The sequence below is a fragment of the Homo sapiens genome, chromosome 6 (genome assembly GCF_000001405.40).
Source record: "Homo sapiens chromosome 6, GRCh38.p14 Primary Assembly".
NCBI classification, from domain to species: domain Eukaryota; kingdom Metazoa; phylum Chordata; class Mammalia; order Primates; family Hominidae; genus Homo; species Homo sapiens.
The window spans coordinates 55,348,602-55,366,997 of record NC_000006.12 but is presented as its reverse complement, the minus strand read 5'-3'; the positions used below and the strand labels follow the sequence as shown (position 1 = coordinate 55,366,997).

The window sequence follows — 18,396 nt, the reverse complement described above, 5'->3', positions numbered from 1 at the left end:
CAAGGATACCCAGGAATTGAACTCAGCTCTGCACCAAGCGGACCTAATAGACATCTACAGAACTCTCCACCCCAAATCAACAGAATATACATTTTTTTCAGCACCACACCACACCTATTCCAAAATTGACCACATACTTGGAAGTAAAGCTCTCTTCAGCAAATGTAAAAGAACAGAAATTATAACAAACTATCTCTCAGACCACAGTGCAATCAAACTAGAACTCAGGATTAAGAATCTCACTCAAAACCACTCAACTACATGGAAACTGAACAACCTGCTCCTGAATGACTACTGGGTACATAACGAAATGAAGGCAGAAATAAAGATGTTCTTTGAAACCAACCAGAACAAAGACACAACATACCAGAATCTCTGGGACACATTCAAAGCAGTGTGTAGAGGGAAATTTATAGGACTAAATGCCCACAAGAGAAAGCAGGAAAGATCCAAAACTGACACCCTAACATCGCAATTAAAAGAACTAGAAAAGCAAGAGCAAACACATTCAAAAGCTAGCAGAAGGCAAGAAATAACTAAAATCAGAGCAGAACTGAAGGAAATAGAGACACAAAAAACCCTTCAAAAAATTAATGAATCCAGGAGCTGGTTTTTTGAAAGGATCAACAAAATTGATAGACCACTAGCAAGACTAATAAAGAAAAAAAAAGAGCAGAATCAAATAGATGCAATAAAAAATGATAAAGGGGATGTCACTACCGATCCCATAGAAATACAAACTATCATCAGAGAATACTACAAACACCTCTACACAAATAAACTAGAAAATCTAGAAGAAATGGATAAATTCCTCGACACATACACTCTCCCAAGACTAAACCAGGAAGATGTTGAATCTCTGAATAGACCAATAACAGGAGCTGAAATTGTGGCAATAATCAATAGCTTACCAACCAAAAAGAGTCAAGGACCAGATGGATTCACAGCCGAATTCTACCAGAGGTACAAGGAGGAACTGGTACCATTCCTTCTGAAACTATTCCAATCAATAGAAAAAGAGGGAATCCTCCCTAACTCATTTTATGAGGCCAGCATCATTCTAATACCAAAGCCAGGCAGGGACACAACAAAAAAAGAGAATTTTAGACCAATATCCTTGATGAACATTGATGCAAAAAACCTCAATAAAATACTGGCAAAATGAATCCAGCAGCACATCCAAAAGCTTATCCACCATGATCAAGTGGGCTTCATCCCTGGGATGCAAGGCTGGTTCAATATACACAAATCAATAAATGTAATCCAGCATATAAACAGAGCCAAAGGCAAAAACCACATGATTATCTCAATAGATGCAGAAAAAGCCTTTGACAAAATTCAACAACCCTTCATGCTAAAAACTCTCAATAAATTAGGTATTGATGGGACATATTTCAAAATAATAAGAGCTATCTATGACAAACCCACAGCCAATATCATACTGAATGGGCAAAAACTGGAAGCATTCCCTTTGAAAACTGGCACAAGACAGGGATGCCCTCTCTCACCACTCCTATTCAACATAGTGTTGGAAGTTCTGGCCAGGGCAATTAGGCAGGAGAAGGAAATAAAGGGTATTCAATTAGGAAAAGAGGAAGTCAAATTGTCCCTGTTTGCAGATGACATGATTGTATATCTAGAAAACCCCATTGTCTCAGCCCAAAATCTTCTTAAGCTGATAAGCAACTTCAGCAAAGTCTCAGGATACAAAATCAATGTACAAAAATCACAAGCATTCTTATACACCAACAACAGACAAACAGAGAGCCAAATCAAGAGTGAACTCCCATTCACAATTGCTTCAAAGAGAATAAAATACCTAGGAATCCCACTTACAAGGGATGTGAAGGACCTCTTCAAGGAGAACTACAAACCACTCCTCAAGGAAATAAAAGAGGATACAAACAAATGGAAGAACATTCCATGCTCATGGGTAGGAAGAATCAATATTGTGAAAATGGCCATACTGCCCAAGGTAATTTACAGATTCAATGCCATCCCCATCAAGCTACCAATGACTTTCTTCACAGAATTGGAAAAAACTACTTTAAAGTTCATATGGAACCAAAAAAGAGCCCGCATCACCAAGTCAATCCTCAGCCAAAAGAACAAAGCTGGAGGCATCTCGCTACCTGACTTCAAACTATACTACAAGGCTACAGTAACCAAAACAGCATGGTACTGGTACCAAAACAGAGATATAGATCAATGGAACAGAACAGAGCCCTCAGAAATCACGCCGCATATCTACAACTATCTGATCTTTGACAAACCTGAGAAAAACAAGCAATGGGGAAAGGATTCCCTATTTATTAAATGGTGCTGGGAAAACTGGCTAGCCATATGTAGAAAGCTGAAACTGAATCCCTTCCTTACACCTTATACAAAAATCAATTCAAGATGGATTAAAGACTTAAACGTTAGACCTAAAACCATAAAAACCCTAGAAGAAAACCTAGGCATTACCATTCAGGACATAGGCATGGGCAAGGACTTCATGTCTAAAGCACCAAAAGCAATGGCAACAAAAGACAAAATTGACAAATGGGATCTAATTAAACTAAAGAGCTTCTGCACAGCAAAAGAAACTACCATCAGAGTGAACAGGCAACCTACAAAATGGGAGAAAATTTTCGCAACCTACTCATCCGACAAAGGGCTAATATCCAGAATCTACAATGAACTAAAACAAATTTACAAGAAAAAAACAAACAATCCCAACAAAAAGTGGGCGAAGGACATGAACAGACACTTCTCAAAAGAAGACATTTATGCAGCCAAAAAACACATGAAAAAATGCTCATCATCACTGGCCGTCAGAGAAATGCAAATCAAAACCACAATGAGATACCATCTCACACCACTTAGAATGGCAATCATTTAAAAGGCAGGAAACAACAGGTACTGGAGAGGATGTGGAGAAATAGGAACACTTTTACACTGTTGGTGGGACAGTAAACTAGTTCAACCATTGTGGAAGTCAGTGTGGCGATTCCTCAGGGATCTAGAACTGGAAATACCATTTGACCCAGCCATCCCATTACTGGGTATATACCCAAAGGACTATAAATCATGCTGCTATAAAGACACATGCACACGTATGTTTATTGCGACATTATTCACAATAGCAAAGACTTGGAACCAACCCAAATGTCCAACAATGATAGACTGGATTAAGAAAATGTGGCACATATGCACCATGGAATACTATGCAGCCATAAAAAAGGATGAGTTCATGTCCTTTGTAGGGACATGGATGAAATTGGAAATCATCATTCTCAGTAAACTATCGCAAGAACAAAAAACCAAACACCGCATATTCTCACTCATAGGTGGGAATTGAACAGTGAGATCACATGGACACAGGAAGGGGAATATCACACTCTGGGGACTGAGGTGGGGTGGGGGGAGGGGGGAGGGATAGCATCGGGAGATATACCTAATGCTAGATGACGATTTAGTGGGTTCAGCGCACCAGCATGGCACATGTATACATATGTAACTAACCTGCACAATGTGCACATGTACCCTAAAACTTAAAGTATAATTAAAAAAAAAAAAAAGAATTAAGCTACCATGTATGTAAATACTTGGAAATGGGTCTACCATATATTTTTTAAGTTTAAAAAGGAACCTGTAAAGCAATAAGTATAGTTTGATTGCCTTAAAAAATGTGTGTGTGTATCAGAGTAAAGGAGACATGTTTGGGTATATACAAGGTATTCAAAGTATGTATGTATTACAAGTAAAGAAAAAGTTCAAAAGAATATACACCAACCTTATGAACATTGGCTCTCTCTTGAGAATGGGATTATTTCTGTATTCTTTAAATTTGTTTAAGCATGTATCACATGCTTTTTTTTTTGTATTGCTATGTTTTCCATCTCTTGTAGAATTTACTAAACAGAGGTTTTCTGCTTTTTCTTAATCCTCTTTCTCCTCCTCCTCCTCTACCTTCCCTCTTTTGTCTCCTACTTCTTCTCCTTGTTCTTTTCCTCCTTCCTGTTTCCTCTTCTTCCTCCCCTCCTCCCCCTTCTCCTCCTCCTCTCCTTTCTCTCCTCCTACTTCTTCTCCTACTCTTCCTTCCTGTTTTCTCTTCCCTCTCCCTTCCTGCCCCTTCCTTTTCCTCTTCCTCCTTTTCTTTCTCCTTTTTCTTTTAATTATCCACATGGAGGATCTGAATATTTTGGGTCAGAATGGTGGTATTTCATATCTCTTTTAGTTGACTATATAACTGGTATTTAAATAAAAAAAAGCTCTGGGAAATGCAAAAAGAACATTTCTGTCAGCTTAAGGTATACCCTCTCACTCCTTCGGTATAATGGACTGAAAACAATAATGGATCCTTTAATCCTTCCCGTGTTGATGGTCCTCTGTCTCTTAACCAACTTCTCTCTCTTCCATGGCTCTCATTTCCCTATTAGCTCTAAGGGCCACAAATTTGTTCTGTGCTACAGATTATCACAGACAAGTAAGTTTGTTGTGAATCCATAGGTTAGTAGGTAAGTGGAGGTTGGTGACAGAATACATGGTTTGTTCAGGATGCTCTTCTGCCTGAGTCTAGTCCTGCACACAGGACCAGATAAGGGCTCTTCAGTGCATTTTCCAAGCTTAGTTCTCAGAACAGAACTATGAAGTTCAGACTAATAGGACTTTGGAGCATATGGAACAGATATAAGTTTTTTGTTTTGTTTTGTTTTGTTGTTGCTGTTTTTTTTTTTTTCATTATCATTTCACAAACAGGAGAACATAGCGGGCTCCAAGTCAACCAGCCAGGGTCATGACTATACCACACCCAATGTAGAACCCTGGGCAAGCTATTTAATCTCATAAATTTATTTCCAGAAAAATTTTTGTTCCAAGAAAGTGTTTTTGAAACTTCAGTGAACAACATGTTAGTAAGTCTTAAAATAATTTAGTGGGTAGTGGTCAGCATTGGGGAACAATAGAATAAAGCAATAAAAATTGTTAACAAACAGAGTATGTTGCATAAAAATGAGAGTACAGTGCTAATATAAACATATATTACTTACTGTGGCCTAAGCTCAAATGAGTTTGAGAAACAATGCATTTAATTAAGCAAATGTGACAAACTGAAAAGCCTCCCTTCACAGTCCTCTCAGTTCCACTCAGTTCTGACCCTTTCAAGTAAAGAAAGCAGAAGCTAAAGGGTTTTAGAAACATACTGTAATGACCGATCTTTTGAAAATTCATGAGAGTGCTAGGCTGATGTGAGAAGTCGGGGCAATGATGAGAGACATACTTCCTTCAGCAAATGTCCTTGTGCTACTTTCATATATTTGAGGCAATGGATAAAGGTTTGTTAGAATTAGCAAGGCCTAAGGATTTGGTTTCTGGTTTTGTTTGGAATTTTTCCTATTAATTCAAGTATAGTCATCACTCCATACCTGTGAGTTCTGCACCCCTCGACTCAACCAACTTTGGATCAAAATATTTGAGAGAAAAAAATAATTTTAAAAAAACAGCAAAATGATAAAATATAATATGAATATAAAAGATACATTATAACTACAATTTACATGACATTTATATGTAAATCATGTATTAGATATTATAAGTATTCTAGATATTATTTAAAGTATATGGGAGGATATACATAGGTTATATGCAAATACTACACCATTTTATATCAGGGACTTGAACATGAACAAATTTTGGTGTCCATTTGAGTCCTGGAACCAATTCCCCATGGATACCAAGGGACAATTCTACCAAGAACTGTGACCAAAGGCCTTTGAGGTTCCTTTAATTCTATAATCCTGTCATTTGAAATTCCTAGTCTTAGTAGGTAATATTTGGAGCAAAAACTTCCTCTTCCTAGGTGAGTAAAGAAAAGTGAAATCATTTTGAATTTTCATTCTTTAAAGCATTCATACAGAACTTTAATATTTACACAATTTTAAATGTCTATCTTTAGTGCCTCTGCAAATTTTTTGCTCTGAAAAGGTTATAGTAAGCAAACACTATGAAAATTGAACACAATTGTTATTATATTTGAGAAAAACATGTTTAGAACTAGAATTAGGATGTTTAGACCTGTATTTTTAGAGAATTTTTGCCAAATAAATTGAATCATTATTAACCTGTAGAATCAACATTTTTCTTCATACCTTGTAATATTAGAAAGAACCTATAAATAACCATTATTATATAACTGTATATATTACTATAAGTTTAGTTTGGTTAATACCAAATTGGTTATTTGGTATTTTCCTGCTGTAATCATATGAGCCATTCATTATAAGTATTTTCAGTTTCAACAGAACTAATGTTAATAAGAGAGGAAAATTAGAGAATATGACTTATATAACACTTCAATTCTTCTCTGTATCGTGATTTCAGTTGAAATATATCTGTAGTGTTAATTATAGAAATTGTGGATATTCCACAGAAAACACTGTCGAAATCAAAACCATAAACTCTGAGCTGTATGCCTATTACATAATATACAACAAATCACAATTTTTAGCACATTGGCTAATGTGCATCTCCTAAGTATCTGTAAAGAAAAATAGAAATATAAATGTGTAAATATGCATCTGTATATAGATATAGATACAGATATAGATATAGATATAGATGTAGATATAGATCTATGTCTGTCAAACATTTTCAATAAATATAAAGATTTGGTTTGCTATGAAACAGTAAATATCCATTACTTCCTTCTAGAAACAGTACCTGCAGATATGGTAGTTACAGCTAGGGATCTAGGGGTAGGGGCCTGGGGAAGTTTGGGGACGTCGAAGGTTGCATGGTCTAACCCTGAAGATGGATAATAGAGAGGTTTTGAATTATTACATGATCACATCCTTAGGTTGTTTCCTTAAGACTCATGAAAGTCCTTCTTGACCATTAGCTCACTTTGAGATGCTGAACAAATTATTTAAATTCCTAAATATCAATTTTCTTGTCCCTAAATTAAACAATAACTTCGGAAAATATGTTTTCCATTTCATCATTATAGGTTGATCAGCAGACATGTTAAAGACCAAGGGGAGAAAAACTAAATTGAAGAGTGAATATATTGTACATAGGCCAGGACAGCCAATCATAGTAGGTTGTTAGAGTAATGATCCTTGATTAATCTGACCTTGAATATTCATATCCTTATGTAGTCCACTCCCACAGTGACTCTGAGGTTGGCCATTGTGATTTGCTTTGTTCAGTGAAATAATTACAAATGTGACAGTAGCAGATACTAGACAGCTACACAATGGGGTTTAGCCATTAGGAACTCTTCTGCTTCCACATAAGAGTTTTTGGCTATATTGCTGAAGATGTCATATTGAAGTGAACCACACCACACCAGAAAATGGTGTCTGCTAATACCACCTTGGACCAAACAGCCTCAGCCGAGCCTAAAGATACCAGATGACTATAGGCACATGAGTGACCCCCCAAAAGACCATCGGAAGAGCCATCCAGCTGAGCCAAGTCCAATGTGCAGAATTGTGAGCAAATAAATGGTTATCGTTTTAAGCCATTGTTTTGTTACTTAGTATAGATACTTATGGTTTGTTATGCAGCAATTGATACTTGATATATCCATTTATCTGATAGAATAAACCTTCTATGCTTTTGATATTGAAATCAATAAATGATAATTAAGAGTGACCTATCATATAAATTTTTAAAATGTACTATTTTCAAGTAAGTGAGTAAAATAGCAAATACACAGAACATAATCAGAAAGCAAATTTTCAAATGCAATACCAAACACAAAAATGTCTGTGCTGGATTACCTCTTTTACTGTATAGGCAAAAACAAAATAGATAGATAGATAGATGATAGATAGATAGATAGATAGACAGATAATTTTATTTGGGGAACTTACTGAAACATGATTTTCTATGAAGCATGTGCTGGAAAATCTTACACAAAGATTCCTCACTTTGTGTAATGGTCCTACAGGTACATTGCACTTGAAGGACCGTCCCAAGGATATCTATGTAAGCAGCTTTGCAGTCATCACTTCCTGAACAAGTGAGGTCCTGTTTGCTTAAGGTGCTAATGCAATTCTCATCTTCATGGCACTTTCTAGTCACACGCTGCCAGCATTTTGACTGAAATGTTCTATAGTGCCTCCTAGAGAAAGAGTGAAGAAAAATAATTAGTTTTGAATAGTGTTATTTCACATTAACATGTGATCCCCCCTCACCTAATGAAAGACATAGAACACAATGCCTTCGAGATGCCAGTACATAGTTGAAAAGTAAATTTGTGATTTGAAAAATCACCATAGGTAGTGTGGAAGAAATTGTAGAGTAATATTGTGAATTATTGTCCCTTTTTTGTGATGAAAGACAGCAGTTAAGTTGAGGATTCCACGGATGGATTTTCCTTTATTACTAATTTTATTCCAATGTATGACTATTTGAGGCATGAACTGCTTCAGAGATTTATTGGCAATTTTTTATTCCAAATATAGTTTTGTGGCTAGCCTTTGGCCACTGTGTCACACCAAGTGATTTCAAGTAAGGTATTTGACTTTTCAAGTCAGTTATCCCACAGGATGGGAGGCGCTTTATACTTTCTCAAGAGACTAAACAGACTAATTAGAATTTACAATATGTTGTGAGGTATAAAATTTCTGTATGTATTTGATTATTGCTGTAATAAAATTGAAAAAAAGTCTGGATAATGTACACTAATTTCATTTTTGAATTTTTTTACAATAAGAATATATTTTTATTAATGAATGCAAGAATAAAATTATTTCAATTTAATGTTTGTCACCGAAAATTGCTTTTTACTCTTCTTGAATAGGTTGACATCAAACATGTATGAAAGCCCTATAAGTACATGACATTTTCATGAAGTTATTTGTCCACATGGATGCTGCTATGTTAAAAAACCAAAGTCACATTGTTTTTAATAATTAAATATTTAACTCATCTTAAAGGATAAGCTTTTAAATATAATAATGAAGATTAATTCATGTATATTAAATTTATAATAAAGGAAATACTGCAAATTTTCTGAACATGTAATTATTAGGTCAGAAGAACAAACATATTCCTTCAATGCTGTTAAGGGTTACATATAAGATATCTTCTAAATGTAAGTTTTGGAAGTATTGATTGTCATTCAGATAGAGACTACATCTGTACCTACATGCTATTTATTCATTTTAAATATGTTTTACTAAGTTTAAATTGCATGGTTTATCTACTTATACATAAGTAGATAAATTTTCACTCAGGAAAAACACCATGAAATTTTGCCAAAATGATGAACTAAAGAATATTTAATTAAAAATAAAATACTACTTTGGTACACTGGATTCCAAAATTATTTGAAATGTAAATGGACTAAAGTCTCCAATTAAAAGACATAGTATGGCTGAATGGATTAAACGGATTAAAAATAAAACGAGCCAATGATCTGTTACCTCTAAGAAGCATACATCATCTATAAAGAAACACATAGATTGAAAAATAAAGGGATGGAAAAAGATATTCTATGCCAATGGAACCAAAAAAAGAAGCAGGAGTAGCTATACTTTAATTAGACAAAATAGATTTCAAGAAAAAAACTATAAAAAGATAAAGAAGGTGATTATATAATGATAACAGATTCAACTCAGCAAGAAGATATAACAATTGTAAATATATATGCACCCAACACTGCAGTACCTAGACATGTAAAGCAAATAGTATTAGACCTAAAGAGAGAGACTTCAACATCTCACTTTCAGCATTGGACAGATCATTCAGACAGAAAATCAACAAAGAAACATCAGTCTTAATCTGCACTATAGATAAAATGTACCTAATAGATATTTACAGGACATTTCATACAATAGCTGAAGAATACACATTATTCTCCTCAGCACGCAGATCGTTGTCAATGGTAACCCATATGTTAGCTAAAAAGCAAGTCTTAAAATTTTCAAAAACTTGAAATCATATCAAGTATTTTCTCTGATGACAATGGAATAAAACTAGAAATCAATGACAAGAGGAACTTTGAAAACTATACAAATACATGGAAATTAAACAATATGCTCCTGATTGTCCAGTGTGCAAATAAAGAAATTAAGAGTAAAATTTAGAGGTGTATTAAAACAATGAAAATGGAAGAACAACATACCAAAACCTGTGGGATATGGAAAAAGCAGTATTAAGAGAAAAGTTTATAGAAATAAGCACCTACATCAAAAAAGTAGAAAAACTTCAAATAAACAACTTAGCAACGCATCTTAAAGAACTAGAAAAGCAAGAGCAAACTGAACCCAAAATTAATAGTAGAAAATAAACTTCAGAGCAGAAATAAATGAAAGTGAAACAAAAAAAATTCAAAAGATTAACAAAATGAAAAGTTGGTCTTTTGGAAAGATAAAATCTCCAAACCATCAGCTAGGCTAATAAAAAGAAACAGAAGACCTCAATAAATGAAATCAGAGATTAAAAAGGAAATATTACAAATGATGCCACAGAAATTCGAAGGATCATTGAAGCCTACTATGAGCAAATATATGCCAATACATCAGAAAATCTAAAATGGATAAGTGAATAAATTTGTAGACACAACCTACCAAGATTGAACTATAAAGAAGTCCAAATCCTGAACAGACCAATAACAAGTAATGAGATCGAAGCTATAATAGAAAGTCTCCCAGCAAGGGAAAACCTGGGACATGATGCTGAATTTTACCAAACACTTAGAGAGGAACTAATACCAATTCTACTAAAAATATTTCCAACAATAGAGGAGGGAATACTTCCAAACTCATTCTTTGAGGCCAGTATCACCCTAATACCAAAACCAGACAAGACATACCAAGGAAAGTAAACTACAGGACAATTTTCCTGAAGAACATTAATGCAAAAATCCTCAACAAAATCCTAGCAAACCAAATGCAACAACACATTAAGATTTTTCATCATGACCACGTGGGATTTATCCTAGTGATACAAGGATGGTTCAATATATGAAAATCAATCAGTTTGATACATCATATCAACAAAATGAAGGACATAAAACATGATCTTTTCAATTGATGCTGAAAAAGCATTTGCTAAAGTTCTCTACGTTCCTTCATGATAAAAGCCTCAAAACCAGGATATAGAAGGAATATACCTCAACAGAATAAATGCCATATATGACAGAGCAGACCAATAGCTAGTATCATATAAAATGGGGAAAAACTGAAAGCTTTTCCTCTATGATCTGTAATGAGACAAGGATGCCTACTTTCATCACTATTATTCAACATAGTGCTGGAAGTCCTAGCCCAGCAATTAGACAAGAGAAGGAAAAGAAAAGGGGGGCATCCAAATTAGAAAGGTAGAAAAATTTGTTTGCAGATTATATAATTTTATATTTGAAAAGACCCAAAGACTCCACCAAGGAACTCTTAGAACTGATCAACAAATTCAGTAAAGTTGCAAGATATAAAATTAACATACAAAAATCAGTAGCATTTCTATATGCTAACAGCAAGCAATCTGAAAAACAAATCTTCAAAGTAGTCCCATTTACAATAGCTACAAATAAAATAAGATACTTGGAATATGTCTAAATGTCCAAAAAAGACTAAGCAAATTAATTAAGCTACATCCATGCAATGGCATACTCTATAGCCATTCAAACATTTGAGAATTTTCTTTTTTTTAATTTATTCTAAGAAAAATGAGATAGATGTGCAGAACGTGCAGGTTTATTACATAGGTACGCATGAGCCATGGTTGTTTGCTGCACCTATTGACCTGTCCTCTAAGTTCCCTCCCCTCGCCCCCGACTCCCTAACAGACCCTGATGTGTGAATTTTCTTATATGCAATTATGGAAAGATCTTTAATCCACATTTAGGGAAAAAAAACAAAAACAATATATAGAGAAGTATATAATATGATGTCATCTGTTTTAAATCAATTAAATAATGCATACATATTTAAAAGTATTTAGAATATTTCCTAAGCAAATACCTTGTCATTACTTTTTTAAGTTAATATATAAAAATATAATGTATTATAATTTTCTGTAAATACCCAGACTTTTGTGAAATTGGCAAGACATAATCTCACCTCCCTGAGGGTGTCGGTACTAGAGAAAGGTAATTGAGAAATGGCCCTTAAATTGTTCTCTTTGGCAGTTAAAAAATAAAGGAATTTCAAAGCCCATCGTGAATTGAAAAATTTGGAACAGGGACAGAAATTGTATTTTAAAACTGAAGTGCCCTGTTTTGCCTATGTACAGGCTCTTCTGCAAAAAAGATAAGTATCATAAAGGGCTTAATATTCTCATTGAAGAAGTGGTTTTCCATTTGGAGATTTGTTTTTCATCTGAATTACATTAACAATAATTTAATATAAAAGCTGGAAATCTCCCTAAGGCAAAATGTGCTCAGGAAAATGATAGGATTTGTCTTTTCACATTGACTACTAATATTATATAACATTTCCATCACCTCTATAAAGTACTGATTAAGGGACTATTTGCACATAGTGAAAGGAAATTGAAGACACACAGTCCTTACACTTGAACTAATCTAAGAAATAAATTACATGAGAAGAAATACATATATGTATACTAAAATATAACAATTAAGTGTACAATATTCAAAAGTGAGAGGAAGGGAGATGACGTTTTTTGAGTGCTTATCCCACTCCAGACCCCACACCAAACATTTTGAAAAGGTGGTTAAAGCTGGGGGTCCTTGTTGAGGAAAATCATCAACTCTGTGCCAGTCCATCTGAGAAGGTGTTGATACCAAGGGGAGGTTAGTGTAAGAGTGTGTGCTTCAGAGTCTATCACAGGAATTCTCAAGGACTATAGCAGCAGAGCCACCACTTGCTATTAAAATATTTTCTTTGATGTGGATGCTCAGAAATACCATGCTTTGAAGGTTGAATGCTAATGGCTTCCAGATAATTAGATAGCATATCGAAAGCCCTGGCACTGGAATCAGGCAAAGCTGGGTACCCATCTGTGAATAAATCTGATATTTTTATAGTGATTTTGCTATTGAAACCATGGTGCCCCTGGCCCTGGCTGGTTAAAATATTATTAGGTTTCATTGTTGATGTAGGAATATGATAGTTAGAAAGGCAGAATAGTAATAGTTTTAGTTCATTTGAGGTGAGAAAAGTAGTGTAATCACATGTGTTTGATATTTCATTGATTTCATATTTCATTGATTTCAGAAGATACCATTATTTTATGTACAACAACAATAACAACAAAAAACACCTGCTGGAACTTAAATTATGACAAATGTCTTTGTTATTGACCTTAAAAATTTATTTAAAATATGTCAGAGATGTTAAAATGTGTAAAAAGAAATTGCATCTTAGAATCAATGAAATGTAGTATTTCTCTAATAAGGATTTTTGAGATGATAAATGAGTTTGAAAAACCTAAATTGCATTATAAAAAGTATTTTGTCAATGCCTTATTCACTCAAGAAAAATAAATAATAAGCCTTAAAATAACTGACACATTTGCATGAAAAATTCTTGAATACAATTTTAAGAACCTTGATATCCTATAAGTTGACGAAATATGTCAATGCTCTAGGACTCTGCTTAGCTCTTTACCACTTATTTCATAGAATGTGTGCTATAGGGAAGCAGTTCTTTTTAACAAATGTTTACAAGATCTGGAACTACTTTGCCAGTTAGAGTGACTGAAAATAAGAGTAGACATAGTTAAAAAGCTAAAAGAGAGAATTTTACTAAGAACCTTCAGGAAGTTGATATCATTACTTTTTGTGTTTTTTTGCCAGTAGTTGAAACAAGGGGACAAATATGACAAATCACACACTAAGCCACCTACATGTCCGAAGCCCTAGGCAGTGTCCTTCAAGCCCTCATATGATATAGGCCTGTTCACACCCACTCAATTAACTCTCTTATCTCGCTCCTATTTCTCTCCCCTTTGCACACTCTACCCTCACTGCTTTTCTAAAATGCCACATACATGTTTTCCTAAGCACTGGCTGGTCAGTTTGCTTAATATCTCCTCTCTCAGTATCTACTGTTTGCCTAGTGTTGTTTGCCTTAAAACAACACATACATTTTTAATTTAATATCTGTCTTCTCTCTGGACTATAAGATCCATAGGCATTTGTTTTCCTTATTCGCCATTGCCTAGAGTAGTAGTAGGTGCTTGATAAATTTTTTTTGAATTAATAAATAAACGACTAACATTACTCCCCCAATAATTAAAGGTGTGAGGTTAGAAAGAGGAGAATGAATACATTTCTATGGTCATAGCATACATGTGTGCTAGGGATGTCCAAATCCTACTTGTATAGAGCATCCTTGACATAAGTAACTCCAAAAAAGACTCCATCTTAGATTTCATACGGTACTTTTCCAACAGGGACAAAATATTTTGCTAAATAAACAATACTGCATCCAACCAAATAAGGACATAAACAAGCATACTCTTCCACTATCGGTCCTCTCAAGAGGACTCTGTGGCCATAAAGAGAGTAGGACTTCAGCAGCTCAAAATGGCCATCTTACCTGACACCATCTTGCTGTCGCTCATAAGCACCCAGCATCTGCTGCCAACAATTCTCCCCACATCAGACTCTTCCTTGCAAGATCAATGGACAGCCCAGATAAGACCAGAAGAATCTTTGTTTTTGTCACTCTTCCTGGACTTTTTCATTAACCCTTTTCTCTATCCCTTTTCTCTTAATGTTAAATGTTACTTTGTTGTGGAATGTTTAACCTATAATCCTTATATATTAAGTATATTATTATGTATGGTTTGCAATATTGACTGATTTGTGGAGTGGCTTGAGCCTGTGTACCCATGGCTCTGAAAACAAAGTGAATGAGAAGTACTAAGGAGAACTGCCTCCTTGGGAACTCCATGTAGCTTGTGGCTTTTGTGATTGAACAGTATTAAAGCCTGACATTGTGAAAAGACACAAATGTGTGTGGACCTGGTTATCTCTGACTTTGCACCACTCATGTGAGTATTTATGCTACCTTCTTCCTCCTGATCTCCAGCCTAAGACAGAAAGAATTTATTTCAAAGTTTGAAGAGTCTCCTTGCCAAAATAATAAATTTGTAACAGCCTTACATAATTAAACAAACAACAAAAAAAAAATTAAAAAGCTGATATGTAAGTCAGGTCTATTAACCAATTCATTAGTCTAACTTGAATACATAATTTTTATAATATTATTTCATGGCTACCATATTTTGACATGCTGATTTTTTATTTCAAAAATCTACTCTGCATTTGAATTTCAGATGATACTGCATATGTACCACAGATTCAAAAAAATATTAATTGTCTGGTTTTATTTACACTATGTTGGATGATGGTGGGAACTCTAGCTAATGTTATGAGATCAAGTGTTAGGACTGGACTATAACAAATAAGGTGCCGAAATAAGAAAGTAAGGTATGAGTGTTTTTACCCACCTGCATAATTCATCATTTTGGCAGCTGCGAATTACACTGAGGCAAGTAGGGGGTGGAACCATGTTCACTGCACATGTCTTGCTGTGAAGAGCTTCTTTGGACTGCTGACAAGGTATATCAGATTGAGCACAGTCACAAAAAGCCAACATCTGGGCAATGTTAAAAGGTATATTTTGATAGAAGAACCGTATGGCTGCTTGGCACTGTTTCAGATCACACGGATTTCCATTTGCTGAGCAAGCTTTAAGGTAAGAGGCCAACTGTGCATTACAGACCACATCCCCTACACATGCCTCTGCCACTTCCAAACAGGACCACATCCCTTTGAATCCTGAAAGCAATGATATGCCCAGGTCGTGGAAAAGTAAACACAAAGCTGTACATACAGAAACTATAAAACACTGTGAGAAGTCTATGAGCAAAATACAATGATGTACCAATGTCCTATTTTTGGCAAACATTACATCTTTTAGAGTAAGTATGAATTTACTGAGACCTAAATCGTAGACTTATTGGAATCATCTTTCATCTATACAGGATACACATTGTGATCTAGAGTGATGGGAAGCGTGCTGGGCCAAAATTGAGCTGAAGGAAAAATCTCCCAGTCCAAGGTTTTCAAATGTAAACGATAAATCTTCAGAAATTGCATTTGAACTATGTAGCTTATGGTTAGCTCATTGGCTCAAGGCAAAATGATTCTTGTTCTGTTGCACATTTTTGTGAGGGGAATCTTGAATAAAGGCTCCACATATTTATTCTAGCATATATAAATGTTTATACTCCTACAGATACACAAGTATACACAAAAACAGTTGGTGCCAAATAACTTATATGATCACAAATACCTATTAAATGTAATCACTATCTACTATTTGGATTTTTGTTTGTTTGATTTTTGAGACAGGGTCTTGTTGTATAGTGGCATGATCCCAGCTCACTGCAACCTCCAACTCCTGGGCTCAAGTGATCCTCCTGCCTCAGCCTCCCAATGAGCTGGGATCACAGACACAAGCCTACATGACCCGCTAAGTTTTGACTTTTGTTTTTGTTTTTGTTTTGTTTTGTTTTTGTAGAGACAGGGTTTTGCCATGTTGTCCAGGTTGGTCTCAAACTCCTGGGATCAAATGATCCACCTACCTCAGCCTCCCACAGTACTGGGACTACAGCTGTGAGCCACTGTGCCCAACCTAGTATTTGGTTTTAATTATTAAGTATTTCTTAGCGCATGTATAAATTGATAATGGATGGGCAAAGTAGTTGCTTTGATGCATCATTAGTAAAAGAAATGAAATGATTTTGCTGCATTTTATTATATTAGAACTGTTAAACCACATGATTTGTTCTGTATTGGCCTATCTTTAAGAAGCCTGGTAACTGCATTTTATATTATCAGGTATTTGCAATGCAGATCAAAATAATAACTTAAAAACATTACCATGATGGGAACGTGTAGTTAGATTCCATTTGAATTTATCCTCTTTCACGTTATCTAGAAGGAAAACAAAGAAATTATTTCATTATTGAACAATTTTCTGAATTTCCTAGGAAAACGTGGGCCACATTTATAAATGAGTAAAGTCCACATATATTCAAGCAAAAGTACATACAAGGTTATGTAACATGTATTTAGCCCTTGATATTCAAAATTAATGTGGTATAGATGAAGAAAACAAGCCTCTGAAATATCATTCAAGTGAGCTATACAGCCCTGCTCTGAGGATTCAGTTACTTGAAGACTTAAATAAATGCTAGTGATTAGACTGTGTGCACGGAGTAAACAAACATTGGATGCTGACTGGGGAAAAAAAAAAAAAAAACAGAAGGAATATTTTCTGAACACTACCTCCCACCCTGCCCAGCATAAAAACCCTTCTCAGAAGGGTCTTCTTTAGTATGAAATGCAATTTTTAAAACCAGTTTCACCTCTGATTATCTTATCCTCCAAGAGTTCTTAGAAATTATAATTATAGTATTGAAAAATCTCATCAACGAAAATGAACTCGGTGTTCATCTAATTCCAAAATCTTTAAAGGAACATTGGTTGGTTCCCTACTATGTACCAGGTGACAAACTGAGGATGCAAATCTGCAGTCCCTGTCATCGAGCATCCCACAGCCCAGAAGGAAATACAGACATATAAAACAAAGCCAAAAGAAACTATAAGGAGCACTAATGTATCCATAAAGTGGCAGGGGAATCAGATGATAAGATTTTCATTTTGAAATGAAAATTATTATTTTTTCATTGGATATTAAGATAATAAGTTTTGTTATGGCATAAATGTCCCTTCATGATTATGTCCTAATCTGAGCTGTTTGTTCATATTTCCTGCCTGCTAGTCTAGTGCACATATAAGATGGTACTATCACAGGAAACTTACTTCTACCCCCAGGTGTGTCATGGCCTTCCAGACTCCTTATATTGTCCAAGCTATTCTCATTATGCATTGTTTTTCATTTTTTTAATTGATCAAGTCTCAGCTTGAGAACCACTCTTTCTTCTTGATCCCACCCATCATCCCGCCTCTCTGAGGAAGATCTGGAGGTTCCAACTTCTGTGCTACTATTCCATATCTAATAAAATCCCAACAAACAGATCCCAGGGAGTCATATAGCTTTTGTAACAGGTACAAAAGTCTAGGCTGGACATTCTTTTATGGATTAGTACCCCTGCATTGGGAATGATTGGTAAGGCTGTGCCACTGACTAAAATATATTCAAGAAACTACTGTGTAGACCTAAATAAACAACAGCTTCACTCACTGTTATTGACTGAATGTTTTTCTCATTACCCCTACATTCATAAGTTGGAGCCATAATCTCCGTGTGCAGTTATGGGGTGATGGTGTCTTTAGGTTAAAAGAGGTCATAAGAGTGGGGCCCTGATCGAATAGGATTAGTGTCCATGTCAGAAGACTTCAGGGAGCTAGCTGTCTCTCTCCCCTGGAGTACTCACTGAAGAAAGGTCCTGAGAACGCAG

General features: G+C 35.1%; 1 protein-coding gene across 1 annotated transcript in view; it reads right to left on the bottom strand.

Annotated features, from left to right (window-relative positions):
- GFRAL (GDNF family receptor alpha like) overlaps positions 1-18,396 on the bottom strand; it is a 75,025-nt gene that overhangs the window by 35,496 nt on the left and 21,133 nt on the right. The window contains exons 4-6 of the mRNA NM_207410.2: positions 16,853-16,906; positions 15,415-15,745; positions 7,860-8,110 (exon numbers count right to left, since the gene is read on the bottom strand). Coding sequence (NP_997293.2) covers positions 7,860-8,110; positions 15,415-15,745; positions 16,853-16,906 — 636 coding nt within the window. The remainder of the gene's footprint in view (positions 1-7,859; positions 8,111-15,414; positions 15,746-16,852; positions 16,907-18,396) is intronic.